Source organism: Homo sapiens, chromosome 5 (genome assembly GCF_000001405.40).
Source record: "Homo sapiens chromosome 5, GRCh38.p14 Primary Assembly".
Taxonomy (NCBI): domain Eukaryota; kingdom Metazoa; phylum Chordata; class Mammalia; order Primates; family Hominidae; genus Homo; species Homo sapiens.
Genome location: NC_000005.10, coordinates 24,163,937 through 24,182,212, shown reverse-complemented (window position 1 = coordinate 24,182,212; position 18,276 = coordinate 24,163,937). Strand labels below are relative to the sequence as shown.

Below are 18,276 nucleotides of genomic sequence, written 5' to 3'. Positions count from 1 at the left end.
AACCCTCTTTGTGTGACATTGACATCATTGACATTCTCAATGGTTATTTTATACAAAATGAAATAAAATTCAGGCTACATCTAAAATGCAAGATGTGGACAGTAATCAAAAGAGTGTGTAGAAGAACGCTGACAAATGTCCAAATCTTAGGGTTAAAGTAAAAGGGATTTAATATAACTATTATGACTATAATACAAACAAAGTCAAATATGGACAATATGGATGAAAAGAGCATAACTTCCAAGAGTACTGGACCAATTAAAAAAATAAATTGGTATTTACTATGCAACGGGGAAAGCGAGAAATCACTCTACAGCTCTTGAGGCTTCAGTATGCTCAGAGCCGGGACTGGGAAGCAAAGAGACTTCTGCAGTTAGCTAATGTTGCTGGGTCTGTAGATTTTAAGTATGTACTCCATTCTGTAAAAGTAAAATTCTTACAGAAACCTGTTCTGGCAAGTTCTCAGAGCCCACTGCCTCAAAAAAAAAAAAAAAAAAAATCACTGATGCATCAGTGAATGTATTATTTTTCCTTCAAAATGAAGTTGCCTGTTGTCCTATTTTTGTTATTGTTGTTGTTCATCTAGGGTCTTTTTTTTCTTTTCTTTTTTTTTTAGAGGAAAAGTTGCTGCATTTCTAAATCAGATGAAATACATATAAACAACACAGTTCTGTTTGGAAGTCACCTCCTGTGTAAAATTAAATATCAGAAATGTCTACTTTAAGAAACACCTATTTTCAAACTTGGTGATTGCAATCAATTTACAGTCTAAAAAATGTGTTCTAAAGGCGGGAGAAAACCTCAAAGATAGACCAATAGCTCATTTATAATTTTACATAAAAATTGTTTTTATGAAGGCAAAGAACATGCAGCAGTTGCTATAGAATGAGATGTGGAATGAGGCATTAGACTAATAGTAATATTTGTAAAACAATTAAGGGAAAACATGGGAAAATGAGAAGAAAGAAAAAAATGTTTAAAAATAGGCATTAATGGTACAGCAGTAGCAAGTATATTTGCTTCTAATTTACTGCTCAGATTTAAGTAAAATGATGATCAAGTAAATAGTCTATTAAAAACAAAAACACCAAACTAATTTCTGTAGCAGACCTTTGTATATATGACCAGAGAGGAGCGACTTATACACTACTCTAATGCCTTTATAGACTAAAATATTTGAAACCTTGAAAAGCGTACAAAGGATCCCCTGAATTAGGGGAAGAATCAAGGTTCAAATTTAAGTGTGCAATAATATGATTAATTCCTTTGTGAGAGATTGTAATCTCTGTGGATAAGAATGTTTTTTGAAAAAAATATATCATCTAGAATTTCAGAATATCAGGGTGTCATTTTCACAGCAAAGTTTTAATTGGTGTATGTCAAAACAGTTATCCCACAAACTGCTGTTGTCTGAGATTAATTTGAGAATTCATGATAAAGTTTCTAGTCAGTTATTGCCATTCCAGCAACCAGATCTTGATGTCTCTTGATCCTTATGCGTGGGTAGAATTTCTTTGTTAACACACTTGATAGCCACTGCATTTCATATTCCAAACTCCCTTTTCCTTTGAATAATCAATACCATATAGAATCAAATTATATCTTGTCCTCTTTTGCCTCTGAATCAGTATTGTTTAAAGACTGCATATTTTGTCACCATAAATTTCCACCTCATCTCCACTATCATGTTAATCCGTGGGACTAGAACTTTTGTTCTCTTAGCATGTGCTGCTCATTGTCCCCATTTGGTATGTATCAAGTTGCCTCCTTTTTTTATTTATAAGATTTGAAGATCCTTTCGATGGAAGGTTACAACACAATGACACTTTAGATAAAAGAAAGGCAGAGGCCGAGCACGGGCACAGTGGCTCACGCCTGTCATCCCAAAACTTTGGGAGACCGAGGCAGTAGATCATCTGAGGTCAGGAGCTCGGGACCAGCCTGGCCAACACGGTGAAACCCTGTCTCTACTAAAAGTACAAAAATTAGCTAGACATGGTGGCGGGCGCCTGTAATCTCAGCTAGTCAGGAGGCTGAGGTAGAGAATCGCTTGAACTCAGGAGGCAGTGGTTGCAGTGTGCCGAGATTGCACCATTGCACTCCAGCCTCAGTGACAGACACTGTCTCAAAAAAAAAAAAAAAGGCAGAATATTTTGTTATTTACAACCTCAAAGAAAAAAGCTACCTGGCAGGGCCACACAGAGGTGCCCTCCATGAAGCATAACAGCAAACTGAAGCCATAAGGGAATGTTTATGTATAGCAAATAGGGTAAGCACAGCTAGGTTTCCTGGGATCCTTGTGGATTGGCTAATTTGAAGAAACTTGGCAGGCCTTGGACACACAGTTGTCCTTAGTTGTCTGGTACCTGGTCTCAGCTCAGTTAGGGCTGATACATAGTAAAAATTTTGTTTTAATTAGTGTGGCTTTATAACATATTTTGAAATATACTGTGATGTATATAACACAAATATATTGTGATGCCTCCACCTTTGCTCTTCTTTTGCAAAATTTATTCTATTGTTTGTGTCAATCTGTGGTTTCATATACATTTTAGAGTTGCTTTTCCTATTTCTATAGAAAATGCCACTGGAATTTTATTAGGTATTACATTGAATCTGTATATTGTTTTGATAATATGGACATTTAAACAATATTAAGACTTCCAATCCATGAATATGGGATGTCTTTCCATTTAGTTGTGTCTTATCTAACATTTTCATCCATGTTTTGTAGGTTTCAATGTACAAATCTTTCACCTTCTTCATTAAGTTTGAATTCATAAATATGGCACAAATGTGCAGGCAACTAAAACATCAATAGATGAGTGTAACTGTGCCAAACGGAAAAGCTTCTGCACAGCAAAGGATAAACAGAATGAAAAGGCAAACTACAGATTGGGAGGAAATATTTGCAAACCATATACCTTATAAAGGGTTAATTTCCAAAATATATAATGAACTCCTACAACTCGATAGCAAAAACAAACAAACAAGACATAACAAAACAAGATAAACCAAAAACCCTAATAATACAATTTAAAAATGGGCCAAAGAGTTGAATAGATATTTCTCTAAAGAAGACATATGAGTGGCCAAGAAGTATATAAGAAGATGTTAACATTACTAGTCATCAGGGAAATGCATCAAAACCACAATTAGATGTCACTTCACATTTGTTAGGATAGCTATTATCAAAAATGAGAAATACAAGTATTGGCCAGCATGTGGAGAAACTAGAACTCTCATGCACTGTTGGTGGGAATACAAAATGATGAGCCACTATAAAAAACATTGTGGAGGTTGCTCAAAAAATTGAAAATAGAACTATGATATGATCCAGCAATCCCACTTGTGGGTATATATCTGAAAAATAGCATGAGAATCTTGAAGCGATATTAACACTTCTGTATTCATTGTGGTACTATTCACAAGAGATAAGATGTGGAAACAACCCAGATGTCTATTAAAAATGGATTAGCACATAAAGACAATATGGTATATACATGCAACGGAATATAGCTAGCCATACAAAAAAGGAAATTTGTCAATATGTGACAACATAAATGAAGCTGGAGGAGATTACGCTAAGTGAAATAATCCAGTCAGAGAAGGACAAATACTCCATGATTTTACTTGGAGAAAACATTGAAAATAGTCAAAATCTTATAATCAAAGGGTGAAATGGTGGCCGCCAGAGGCTGGGTGGAGAAAAAAATGGGGAGTTGCTAATCAATGAACATAAAGTTTCAGTTACCAAGATGATTCAGCTCTAGTGATCTACTTTATAACACTGTACCTGTAGTTGACAATGATGTATTGTACACTAAAATTTGTTAAGAGGGTGGAGCTCATACTGTGTGTTTAGCACAATAAAATAAAAATTTTAAAAAGATGATGTGTTACTTAGGCTTTTCTAAAATAAAAAAAAAAACAACAAAGTCAAAACCTAAAGCATTCTAAGAATTTATTTTGAGTAGGAAAAAAAATCAATGCAGAGAATTGGATGCTTTTTTCTCCCTTGTAAAGTTGCATTTGTATATGTCAAAGAGATTGTTAACTAGCCTCAGAGATCTAAAAATTCAAGAATGTGAGAAAGCCACCTGCAATGGCACTAGTTGCTTGAATTCTCAAAGCGGGTGATTCACAGGAACTCACTTGGATGCTGCTGCCAACGTCATGTCTGCCAAATGCCTGCGCATCTTGCTACAGCTGTACTGGAATTCTTGTTTTCTTCTGACTTTTAAATCTCTCTTTATTGAATCCCATTGGCTGAATCCAAGCTAGACATCTGCTTGAAAGTGATTCCAAGAGATGGAATTCTTCGACTCTCCACTGTGATGCAAGAAATGGTTTAGTGGAGCATGGAAGAAGCTCAGCTGAAAACAGATAATCCAGGAAAGAAGGGTTAATAATTGTGTTTGGAAAAAAGTAATTTTAAGCATGTTTACAGAAGGAGTGTTTCATAAATACATTGTAGTCAGTTCAGAATCAGTCTAAAACTATACTGACTTGCAATTCTCTCTTCCAAGATAGGAACTATCATTAAAAACTTTATTTCTATCCTAGACCTGAGTATACTTCCAGTCACCTGGTGTTAAATGTGGAAACTACTCTCTTTCCTATCCGTTTTCTACTTCTTTTATTTAATTAGAAACCAAGTGACACATCTATGAAAGCATGTGCACACACACTCACAGACACACAGATGTGAACATGCATTTTTGCACTGCAGTGTGTGTTTACATTTATTCTATCTACCTATTTATAGCTGCTTTTCCAAAGCAAGAACTCAACTACCTAGAATATTGCAATACATGGAAACTCCAGCTTTTTGCCATTTAGATAACCTTATAAAAAAGTCAGAATTAATTTATTTCAATAATTTTCTGTTTCTTGCAAACACATTTAACTTTTCCATCTGAACCTCAAGTCCTGTCCTCTATAACCTAGTCCCACTCCACTTAGACAAATTTTTCTTCTATTATTTCCTGGAGTGGAATATCTGCTAAAATAAGGTCTCCCTTTTTGCATTTTTTCACATGTAATGTATGGTTCATGTGTGCTGTTTCACATACCTGGAATTTGTTTCCTCTCTTTTCAGTGTGTGAAAATAACTTCTACATTTTGAAGACTAGGCAATAGGTTTTACTTATCTCTCCTTTTCACCATTTTTTTTAACTACAGAATATGCAAAACCACCTTACATCATAATAAATAATATTCTCTGTAAATTTTAGCATGTTAGTTTAAGCAGCCATAAGATTGTAGATATTGAGTTTAAGGGCCACCTGTACATCATTTTACCCTCTATGATATCTTTTATTCTTATAAATTTTCAAAGATATTAAAACATATTTACTATATTGAAAGTCAGAAATTCTGAAGGAAAACAAAATATGTGTGTTTTTATCTTTCATAATTCACAAAGTGTGTCAGAAATTTTGAGCACATGTGTGATCAGTTAGGTCATATTTTTTTAAGATATTGCAAAACACTGGAAATGGGAATAGAGATTACTTATTAACAGCCTGTATTACATTTTACTTTGTAGATATTTTTTCTTGACATTCAACAGAAGATTTCTCTAAGGAAAAAAGTAGCCAGATATCATGTTTCTAACTCAGAAGATTATCAGGTAGTTAATACTGGAAACACAGACAGTAAAATTTAAATTTGAAAAGCATAATACAAATTATTTAAGAAGTGAGATGTAGATCATTATTGATTAAGATAAACTAATCATTGAAAAAATGCTAAGCAAGTTAAAGTTTTGAAGTCAGTGACTGGAAAATATCCCAATTTTGATGGAAAGCAAGGATCTGTTAAATGAGGTCAGAGAATATAAAATCCTGACTAATAAATAAAAGTTATCAGAATCACCGATAGGTATTTAAAGAGATCATTTAATTTGGGAGTTTATTTTTTAGAGTATAATTTTAAAAGTTTCCACAAAAATATAATTTACCACATCTTTTAAAGGGTCATCTAGAGATAATGTTATACATGCAAATGAAATGGCAAATTTGCCTTAGTGAGTAAGGACAGCATTTAAAAAATACTAAGTCTATAGAGAATTCTGTGTTACAATTGTATCCCTTTGTATTACACCTTAATTTTGAGAACTTGTAGAAGGGAACTCATGTTTTTAAAATATACATAGAAAATATAGAATAAGAGAGCATATATTCAACCTATATATTTTTTTTTTTTTTGAGAGGAAATCTCACTTTGTTACCCAGGCTGGAGTGCAGCAGCACAACCTCGGCTCATTGCAACCCCCACCTCCCAGGTTCAAGCAGTTCTCCTGCCTCAGTCTCCCAAGTAACTAGGATTACAGGTGCATGCCACCACACCCGCTAATTTTTGTATTTTTAATAGAGATGGGGTTTTGCCATGTTGGCCAGGTTGGTCTTGAACTCCTGACCTCAAGTGATCCACCCGCCTCTGCCTCCCAAAAGTGCTGGGATTACAGGCGCAAGCCACCACACCTGGCCTCAACCTATACTTTTTAACAATAAATATTTATATATATCTTAAGACTGAGGTAGAGATTGTGAAGTTGGGATACAAGGAAAAAGAGTTCAAAAATATGTCTTTAGAAAATATTTTAAAACATTTGTGAGAAATTGATAATGATATAATATTCAAATACCATTAAATATAACAAGGACACAAATATACTTTCCCATATGATGTATTTGTGTTTATGTCTAGCTAGTTACAAAGATGACTTTTGCATTTCTTAACATCCCCAAGCTTTCAGGTTTGGAAACTTAAAACAGCATCTAGGTAACTAGGTTATCTATTTGAAGCTGCCAATATCTTCTATAATTTTATGAAATGATTTTGGTAAAGATCCTATTTTAAGATATGTGTTACTATGTTTACATAGATTTTCTTAACAGTAGTGATGACAGAGTATCAACTTGGTTGGTTGCAGAATCTAATAAGTGTTTTATGTATCTATCAATTGGATATATAGATTACTCCCTTTAACAAATCTAATTATACAATAGCAAACCTACCTTATCCTGTATATGTGTGTGTGTGTGTATATATATATATATATATATATATATATATATATATATATTTGTTCCTTTCATGTACACATATATATGTGTGTATCTTTTAAGAGAAAGGGAGAGAGAGAGAGAGAGAGAGAGAGAAAAGTAGGTGTAAAATATTAAAATATAAAATCATTTTCTCAAAAACCGAAGTTAATAAAATAAGGAAAATTTGAAATTTGAATGGAGCTATGGAGCTTTTGGACAGTTGTTCAACATTCTCACATAACTTCTATGTGCTAAGCAACTTCTGATCAAATTTAAATCAATTACTAAACAGTACACTTTCTTTATAATTGAATTATATTTATTTCTCTAAGGCAATAATTTCTTTTATTTTTCTCCTGAATTGATCATTATTTGTGTTGTAATCTAGCATTTCTGTGTGTTTGTGTTATGAGGGACAGAATAATGTTTGTGGATATACTGAAAAGATGTTTGGTGGAGATATTTTTTCATTAATTATGTTATAGTTTGCTTTCTTTGTGTTTATTTGCGTGTTTGCTCTTCCTTTTGAAAATGCAGATTGATTACTTAAATAGGCATTGGAACAAAATGTAGAGTTAATTTCTCATTGAAATGTATATGGCTGGGTGTGGTGGCTCAAGCCTGCAATCCCAACACTTTGAAAGGAGGCCAAGGCAGGAGAATTGCTTGAGCCCAGGTGTTTGAAAACTAGCCTGGGCAACAGAGTGAGAACCATCTCTACAAAATAAATAAATAAAAGTTAGCAGAGTATGATGATGTGGTGATGTACGTCTGTGGTCTCAGCTATTTGGGAGGCTGAGGCAGCAGAATCACTTGAGCCCAAAAGGTTGAGGTTGCAGTGAGCTGTGTTCATGCCACTGCACTTCAGTCTGGGTAACAGAGAGAGATCCTGTTTCAAAAACAAGAAATGTATAGTAATAACAAATCAAATTACCTACTAACATATTTACAAATATTTGTGGATAAAAAAATTCATAGCTATATCTAGACCCACTTTTCTAATTCTTTCATATTCACTTCCACCTTTGTTTAAGCAAAGTGTCCAACCAAACAGGTGCCCAACATTTTAGTTATCTAATTCAAAAAGTATAGCATAATAAATAGTCCAAATTAAAATATAACTAAGCTTACAATAGATTTGTTTTGAAAAAAAGATATTTAAAATAATTTTCTGAATTAGTTAACCACTAAATTGCTTGAAAATTATTAATATTAAATACTGTCAGAATTCAAGGCAAAAAAGGAAGCTATTACTAGTGGCTTCAAAAGAAACTGCTGTATACAAGTCACTGAAAAAAGCTTAGAGTGCATACATTGTACAACTATCCTATAAGAAGTTATATAAGAAAACCTAATCTATTATCAACATATATATATGTAATCATGAATACTAGCTTTGTGGAAAGATAGAAAATCAGACATCAAAGAGTTGTCTCAATTATCTCAAAACTTTTAAATGGAACTTGTTCTTAAATTCAGTCAAAATATTTTGCTGATGATAACTGTCAAATATAATGAAAATATAGAAAAATGTATCATAATATTTTCATAGAAAGTCTGTTTTAATCCACTTGATATAATGTATACTTTATCAACTTGTATGTTAACATAGAAATACAAGTATTTTCTCAAAATTTGTCTAAACACAACTAAACAAATGCTAAGTAAAACTGCTGTTTAAAGCCAGAGGAAGCACAGGTTCAAATATTACTGATATGATAATTTTAGTTTAAAATGTTGCATTCATTTGTCTTTGTAAGACTATGGGATTAGTAGACTTGGCTTATTATTTGTTATAATTGTATCACCATACATTTTAAATGACTTGACAAAATGCTAAGGTGAGATCCCCTATGCTAGCTACCATATTTTGGTACCATTAGAAAAGTCTACTATGACAAATTTTAGCCAACTGTATGTATCAGAGGGATACCATGCTTTATATATAATTTAAACCTTAATAATAAAATTTTAAAATTAGTCTACAATCCAGGATTTTATATTGAACAATGGCAGAATAAAATAGTTATTATATATTTCATATATATAAATGTTTTGAATTAAAACATTTCTCTTGAAAGCAAAATCAATGAAGTAATGTACATGAACAATGAAATATTTGCTTTACACTATATTTCCATTAATGTTTATGACTATAGATTCGATTATATTCTGTAGACTTCTTTAAAGCAACAACTAACAAACACATATTGACCAAATGTCTTCAAATTTTATTCAAAATCATTCAGAGTATACTTTCTACAATTGGCTATAGTAAGTTAAAACTGAAGGTAAGGCTTTAGGTTACTACATAGCTTCAAGTACAGGTATTTGATAAAATGTTAGATTGTGAAGGAAAATAAAGGTTTATAACAAATAGCTTTTAAGTTAAAGTTATGTATCAGATTCAATGCTAGGTATTGGGTTACAAAATGTTATAAATAATATATGCATCCAATGCTTACTTGTCTGGATGGGGAAATCAAAATTTAGTTTTAATAAGTTTTATTTCAAGATGCACCTGACGATAGCTAAAATGTATATGTTAATTATGAGTTGGATATGGGAAAATCTCAAGAACAAATTCTACTCAGAAAGCACTGATTTATAAGTCATATTACACAGATGATTTTTGAAGATGTGAAAGTGGATGAGATTATGGTGGAGAATACAGCAGAGTACAGAAGAGAGTTTAGAACCAAAACCTAAGGAATATCATTACGTAGGGGATGCTGATGAAAGTATCTTCAGAATTAGAGTATCCAGTAAGGGACTTGTCATTGAAAATCTGTGTAAACTTAAATTTAGGAGAAGATTGTGGGGCAGAAGTGAGACTGCAGTGGAATAAGAAGAAAGTGTAGGTGACGAGTTTTTTTTTTTTGAATTATCTATACATATCTTTATTAATCACTATTGTTCCAGCAGTTTTCAAGTCAAATTAATAATCTTATTAGGGAGAAAATTCAATTGTAAATTGAATCAGTATAAACAAAGTTACTAGGTAATTTCATATTGCTCTGAGAGAAATATGGAACTTATACTGTTCAATTAGAATAGTGTTCTGCAAAAATACTTACAAAACCTCTCAAGATACTGCTACTGTAATTTTATATGAAGATAAGTGTATTTTTCAATAAAGCATTTCTAAATTAGCCTTTGTTTGTTTATGTTGAGAAAAGGGTAGTTTCCTGCATAAATGGCAAAGAACAATCATTTATTGGTTTATTTTGTCTCTACTAAACACATTAGTCATTTATCATTTAAATACCGGACTTCATTAGAAACCGTTGTAACACTTTTTCTCCCTCCTGCCATAAAAATACAGTAAGTAATTTGCTTAAAAAAACAATACAACACTAGGAACAAGTGTTCTGGTTTCTTCTCACTCAACTAAAGACATTTCTCAGTGATTTCAGTTTGTAAATCAGTAAGACAGTGCGGGCTACAAATCATTGCAGGCTGAAGACTGAGATTCAAATGATCTTCCACTTAAAAGTGCTGAGCTATGGACCTGCTCTCTCTATACCTCTCCATTTCCTAACATATATACAACTGAAACCACTGATTTATAAACTATTAAGTAGTGCTGAATTCTGTCTGCTCTATTAGTTTAAATGAATGCAACTTACCTTTAGCATTATATTCAGAAAAATACTTAAGCCTCAAGGTCCCCAATAACTTGGAGTACTGAACTAGATAACCACCCTAAGACACTTCTGACCGAAGTAATGCATTACTTAGAGACAGGTTTCCAAACCCTGCTGTTAGAACCTATGCATACATGGAAAACACTGGCAGTCAGTCATTGTTCACACAGTTTTACTCTTAAGGCAGTCCTCTGCCATTGGTCAGCTTGAACTAGGCCAGAGTCCAGCAGGAAAGTGCATAGTGCACCAGATTCACCATCTCTTAAGTCGCCACTGTTTTCTCTTCTTTACTGAAAGGCTATACTGAGCCAGACTTTACCCATGACAGGCCAGCAACATGAACACTTTTATTGTGTTGTTCTTCAGGCTTCTTTTTCTGAGTCAGCATTTTTACTCTGGCTTCATCATGTACAGAAGGATTCCATGGAGAAAAGCTAATTGCATAGAGGTCTTCTATTTTAGGTTGGTCAAACGAGCAGTGCACACCTTAACACTGTCAACAACTTTACTTTTAAAAAGCTGAATATCTTTTTCATACAGTACTGCAGCCTCTGGGTTCAGGGGGCTTGCTGTATCAATCTTGTAGAAAACTCTCCTTGCATACATTAATACCTACCAAATATGATTATGGTTCCGCCTCCATTTTGCAAATGCTCTCTTCACGTCCAGCTCACCTGAGGTGGGATCAACTAGCGGGTGAAAGACAGGAATATCGAACACCAAGCGTGGACAGTCACCATCTGGATAGTTATCAGGGATGTAAACTGTAAACTTAAATACGCCATCTTGGTAAAGTCCATGCTGTATGAATATTACTCCAAACCACATTAATGCAGAGCGATAAGATGGCTGCACATAGACGCCTGGTAGCTTCTGCTTCACAACCAAGGTAAATTCTGCAAGAAGAGAGTATTCCAGGTAGAAGGGTCCATAGGACGCATGCGTGCCATTTGTTGACTGTGCTGCTGGGGCAGGAGATGTAGGCTTAGTTATGGGCAAAGCATTTTTGGGAATAGAAGGCAGCTGTTTCTTTGGTGCAGTTCGTGGAGGACTGGTTTTCACGTCCCCTGTTAATGTCTTCTCTTCACCTTCAGATCGTTTGTGTACAGAGCTTGTAGACATGCTCCAGAAAGGGTTCATAACGTGTACTCCAAACAAAGAAATTCAGTGGTGTATCATCCAAATCTTCTGTCTTCGGCATTCACTTTACCCCAGTGCCTTCAGTGCAGAGCTCCTGGCTGCCAAGCGCTGTCGCGGCCCAACAGCATCTCCGGCCGCAGCGCCAGCCCTGCCCCTGCTTGATCCCCGCCCCGCCCCACCCTGCCCTGCCCTCGGCAGCGGGCTCCGCCCCCTCGAGTTTTGTACATCTTTTAAGGATATTTGTTTGTGGGGGATGGGGAAGAGGGAAGATAGGTAAAGCGGTTTGCATACAGCTGAGTAGTACATCTGATTTGTGGAGGATCCCTCTTCTCTAATATCAAAGAAACTTGAGTATATTTAATATTGGTGGGAAGGGACATTGTATTAGTCCCTTGTTCTCGCATTGCTATAAAGAAATACCTGAGACCTGGTAGTTTATAAAGAAAAGAGCTTTAATTGGCTCATGCTTCTGTAGACTGTACAGGAAGTATAGCAGCTTCTGCTTCTGGGGAAGCCTCAGGAAGCTTCCAGTCATAGCGTCAGGCAAAGAAGGAATGAGGCATCTCACATGATGGGAGCAGGAGCAAGACAGAGAGGTGAGATACACTTTTAAACAACCAGATCTCATGAGAACTCACTATCACAACGACAGTACCAAGGAAGATGGTGCTAAAGCATTCCTGAGAAACTGCCCGCATAATCCAATCTCCTCCCACCAGGCCCCACTTCCAACATTGAGAATAACAACTGCGATGCGGGTGAGGACACAGATCCAAACCATATCAGACATATTTTAAAGAAGTGATGGGGAAGTATTAAAAACAAAAGTATCATTCAGCAGAGCAAGGTGGGAGGATCTTTGCCTATGTCTTTATTACCAAGGAACCATCTTAGCATGTTGAATCCTGTATGTGTTCAAGCTATTTTATTTTCACTTTTTCTTCTCTATTTACATAGAGAGAACACGAGCAAAGCTTGTGGTCTGAGGATTATGCCAACTGTAGACAATATTTAAAAGTTTGGGCCGGGCAAGTTGGCTTACGCCTGTAATCCCAGCACTTTGGGAGGCTGAGGCGGGCGGATCACGAGGTCAGAAGATCGAGACCATCCTGGCTAACACGGTGAAACCCCTTCTCTACTAAAAATACAAAAAATTAGCCGGGCGTGGTGGCGGGTGTCTGTAGTCCCAGCTACTCAGGAGGCTGAGACAGGAGAATGGAGTGAACTGGGGAGGCGGAGCTTGCAGTGAGCCAAGATCACCTCACTGCACTCCAGCCTGGGTGACAGAGCGAGACTCCGCTTCAAAAAAAGATAAATAAATAAAATTAAATTAAAAATAAATAAATAAATAAAAAGTGTGCAGAATAAATTGAAACTATTTAAGAAACATGATTTATGTCATAAAAAGAAATGATCATTTTATTGTGATGAATATACATTAAAACAAAATACATGTTAAAGTAAGTTTATTTCAGTTATGTTATTAAAAGTAATATATAAACAATATTTCAAAAAACTTTTTCATACTCTGTGATCCACTTCTCTTCTTCCAAGTGACTTTTCTCATAGTGTCATATTCTATTTGTATTTAAAAGGAAAATTAATCCATATGGTTTCGCATTCTTTATATTTATCTCATCGCAATGTTTTGCATGAACTGTTTTCTATCTCAAAATGTTCTAAACCTTTTAAAAGCCTTTTATTCTACGTTGCAGAGAGCTATTATATACACAATTTAAGTCAAGGCTGAAAGGACTCAAATTTATTTGCAAATGAAAATCTCATAGGGTTAGAATGAATTAAAAACACTTCCTGTTAAAATATATGTGAATATGTGTGAAAATTGTTATACCAAAAACAATTTTGGCATTTTAACTTATTCTGACCTTTTTCTTCCAATATTTAGGGTGATATGATTGTTAACCAGAAATATGCATATTTATTTGAAAATACAGATAATTTTTCTCCCTTCAGTCCAAATATGGGTGTTTCTGATTGATAATAATTGGGATTCTACTTTGACAATGTATTTCACTGCTCAAAATAAAATAGCATTAATTAATAGGCCCAATATAACCTCACTATGTTTTTCTTTTTCCTGGATTTATGAACGCAACATATGACACAACCTTCTATCACTTTTATATGCTCTTCAGAAAGGTTCTCCTTCACAAACTCTGTACCACTGACTGCCTCCATCACTAGTTTATTACTTATGATAAGCAATGTTAAATTATGAAATACATACCTTATACTTTTTTTCCCAAACATGTTATAAGATGATTCATTATAGATACTGTTTTCTGCTTTTCTTGTGTTTCACAAACTGCTAAAGACTATGGTATGTGCTTAGAATTTGTACAATAAGCACATGACTCATTTCCTATTATTCCACTTGTAGCTAATTATTGAGCTTTGTATCCAAGCTTTGCTTACCCATGATCTGTTATTTATTAATGCCTCTCCTCTGAGAAAAAGTCTTAATTTTCCTGAGACACAATAGGCACCTGAGTGAAAGGAGAGTTGATCCAAAAATACTGTGTTTGCACAAAGACTATGAAGACTTATGGTAAAATATTCCAGTTTCTTTCAAAGAACAAAGGCCAGATATTAGGAGAAGGTATAAATATTTTCACATCATTGCTTTGTGTCACTCTTTTACTTTCTGCTCCATCCCCAATAATTCATAATGTGGTTAAATGGCACGCAAGTTGCAATTAGACACACACAAAAACACACAGCAGTGAAAGAAAATTTCTTAGCATTTCTGTGGCATCATGAGTTCAAAGTATCACCAGTAGCATTGGCAATGGCTTGAATAGAAATGGGACATAAGTATTTTGATACATACATCAGCTCTGTTGATATCAGTGAACAGCTAATTACAGCCGTATGTCAAGGAAGCACAAATATCAGTCAGCTCTTATCAGTGTTATTTCCTTGAAAAAGCAAGCAGATCAACTACTACCACTTTTGGGGGAAAAAGATTAGTACTCTCCCTATTAAACATTAAAAAATCTCAATGTGGATTCCATAATTTATCTGCAGCAATACTGGTTTCAGCACCATAGCTGCTGTAGGGGTAACTGTGGTGACTGAAAATGTCACCAGATAATAGTACAGATGGATGGAGGAAAGTAGACATGCCATAAAGTATCTATAATGAACAATTTTCAGAGCAAACGGTAATATCCTCTATTTCAAAATGATTTGAAAGAGGCCAAAACTTTTGAAGAGTAAGTGAGCACAGAACTTCAAAATGCTTGCGACACTTATAACGGTCTATTTTTATTTTCAAGCTGTTGAGGGCTGAGAAATATAGAATCGTTTTAGTTCTGTTCAGGAGGCATTAAATGGAAAGCTACAATTTACTAGGCACTATTCTGGGTGTGAGAGACATAGAGATTAGGTGGACATATTTCTTGCTTCTCCAATGGGGAAGACAGATGCTTAAAGAGATTGTTTTTATATAATGTTACATACATTATAACAGATAAATATAAATTATTTCAGTCTTTGTCAAAGTGATTCTTCAAATACTTGAGCTTTTAAGGATGAGTAAAAAAAAAGGCCAAAAAGTTTACCTAATCAAAAAGGGAAAATTAGAAGAGCTAACACTTATTCAGTGATTTATTGTGATTCATATTCTTCTAAGCACTTTACATGGATCATTCATTAATCCTGAAAACAACTCTGTGGGATGGTTCTATTGTCATATCAATTTTACAGATGGGGAAATCAAGGCTCAGAATAGTCAAATAACTTACATAACTTCACAAAGCTAATGACATAGAGGATGGATTAAGAACCCAGGCAATTTGACCCCAGGGCAACACAGTGTTTTGCTAAACAGATCATGGAGAACTGTATAAAACCATTTTCCACTTACTCTAATTATTTCAGTGAGCCATTAAAAAAATTTAAGTAGGCATAAAACAGTAAGGTATTTGCTAAAGGTCTGAAAATCTTCTACTGCAGAATTTTGAGATGATTTAGAACTAGAGGCTGGGAGACCATTTAGAGATAATTGCATGTGAATTCTGCCAGGGTCCGGCTTATGACAGATGTAGAAGTGAGTGGAAAGGGGGATGGATTTGAGATACAGAAATGAGAATTTCCATGAATCGATACTTGATCGGGTGCATAAAGTAAGTAAGAGATGAAGGATGGTTGTGTAGATGACATTAAATTTAACTGAGAGGAAATGCAAGCGTAATGGGTTTGGAGTGTGAATTGAAAAATGGGATAGATGTTTTGGGATAAATGAGAGTGAAATGTCTGTTAAGCATTTATAGATATGCATGCAACAAAGTTCAATGTATGAGTCTGAAGAAGAGAAAAAAGTTTGCAAGTTATATTTCAAATTCCCTTAGTTCAACTTAACAAATGTTATTGAGCAATTAATATAATTCAGTTTTGATACCAGAAAATATTTTCTTCTCTCAAGGATCTAAACATTTATGAATGGTTATCACTATATAGGTGGGACACAAATTACATTACTCTACAAGTACATTAGATTGAAAGGAGAAACGAACCAAAAGCAGAGTAAAGGGGACAAATGAGGTCAATTAAGATGGCAAAAAAGTTAGAAGGAATACTGACAAAATATAATATTATGAATGAAATGGAAATAGAATTTAAAGAGGGGTGAGTTTAACAGTGACGTGCACTGCACAATGATCATATGCAGCAATTCTTTTTAATATTTCTATCTTGGTTATTCCTGTTTCAAAATATTTATTGGCAATCTGAGAATGACTCTATTCATCCAACAACGCACACTAAATAGGCCCAGAAAATACCATTATTCTTTCAGCTCCTCCAGCTAGTTATGTTGGTATTCTGCTGCTTACAATGAAAAGACACCAGACAGATGCAGGAAGCAAGACCAAATCCTGGCTTTGTGGAAAGACTATGACTCTAAAATACAGCCTTTACCAAAATCACATCAAGAAATGTAAATCATATCTCAATTATTATTTAATTCCTTAGGTCAATAGAAATTAGGAAAAGTACATATATGGCAATCTTTTGCATAGAAGTATAATTTAGTGAGTAAAATGGTTTCTAATTACAATTATATTTATACTAACATTTTTAATAAGAGAGAATAAAGACTTCAGGTTATCACAGGATATATGAACAGACACAAGATACATATTTTTTGTGCATTTCACACGTGGAATTACCAGGCATTTATAGAATTGAAACCTAAAAAATAGAAAGAAGATAACATAAAGTGAACAAAATTCAAATACCAAGACATATATAGTCTATACTTATGCCAGCTGTAATTTCTTACTGAGAAAGATTTCAACATCATGTTGTTTGGCATTTGTTAAATGAGGAAAAATGCATAAAGTATAGCTGAACTTTTCCTAAGAGGGTAAAATTATAGATATTTTTGGCACATAGCATCTCACTTAAACAAAAGAAAAGGGGGTGAACTATGTTTTCTTAGATGTATTATAAGCAACCCAAGAAAACCTGGTTCCTTATCTTCAGTCATGCATCTTTCTTTAGGACATATATTTAATTTTGGTTGATAATTTTATCAAAAGCAAGAAATAAATACAAGCAAAAGTTTTTGTTTGTTTGTTTTTGTTTGTTTGTTTGTTTGTTTTTAATCCAGAAAACACATCTGCTTCATGGTCTTATTTATGTGTGGAATCTAAAAAGTTGAACTCATAGAAGTATAGAACAGAATGGTAGTTACCAAAGTTGGGGGACAGGGATGGGCTTGCGAGATCTTGATCAAATAAAACAAAATTTCAGTTAGATAGAAAAAATAAGTTAAAGAGATCTATTTAACAATATGGCGACTATAGTTAATAACAATGAATTGAACTCGTAAATTACCAAGAGAGCAGATTTGAAGTGTTCTCATCACAAATAAATGATACATATGTGAGGTAATGCATATGTTAATTAGCTCAATTTAGCCATTCCACAATGTACATACTTTTACAAACATGCTGTACATGATAAATATGCACAATTTTCATCAATTAAATGAAAGGAAAAAATCTGCAATTTTTTACTGTCTGAAATGAGGATATAAAATGTTACTCTTAAATATATTTATTAGACTGAACACGGTGGCTCACACCTGTAATCCCAGCACTTTGGGAGGCCAAGGCAGGTGAATCACAAGGTCAGCAGTTTGAGACCAGCCTGGCCACTATGGCGAAACCCCGTCTCTACTAAAAATACAAGAATTAGCCAGGCATGGTGGTGGGTGCCTGTAGTTCCAGCTACTCAGAATGTTGAGGCAGGAGAACAGCTTACACCCAGGAGGCGGAGGTTGCAGTGGGCCAAGATCATGCCACTGCACTCCAGCCTGGGCAATAGAGCGAGACTCTGTCTCAAAAAATATATATATACACATACATGTAGCATAGCGCCGTGAATTTTATATTTTAATAGATTTA

General features: G+C 34.4%; 1 long non-coding RNA gene and 2 pseudogenes across 1 annotated transcript in view; 1 reads left to right on the top strand and 2 right to left on the bottom strand.

The window, feature by feature from the left end:
- Positions 1-3,947: 3,947 nt before the first annotated feature.
- The window catches only part of LINC02899 (long intergenic non-protein coding RNA 2899), a 226,918-nt gene continuing 212,589 nt past the window's right edge, over positions 3,948-18,276 (bottom strand). The window contains exon 5 of the long non-coding RNA NR_131245.1: positions 3,948-4,376. This is a non-coding gene — a long non-coding RNA (long intergenic non-protein coding RNA 2899). The remainder of the gene's footprint in view (positions 4,377-18,276) is intronic.
- On the top strand, positions 9,936-11,974 carry LOC503540 (AKT interacting protein pseudogene; annotated as a pseudogene).
- AKTIPP2 (AKTIP pseudogene 2) lies at positions 10,768-12,042 on the bottom strand (annotated as a pseudogene).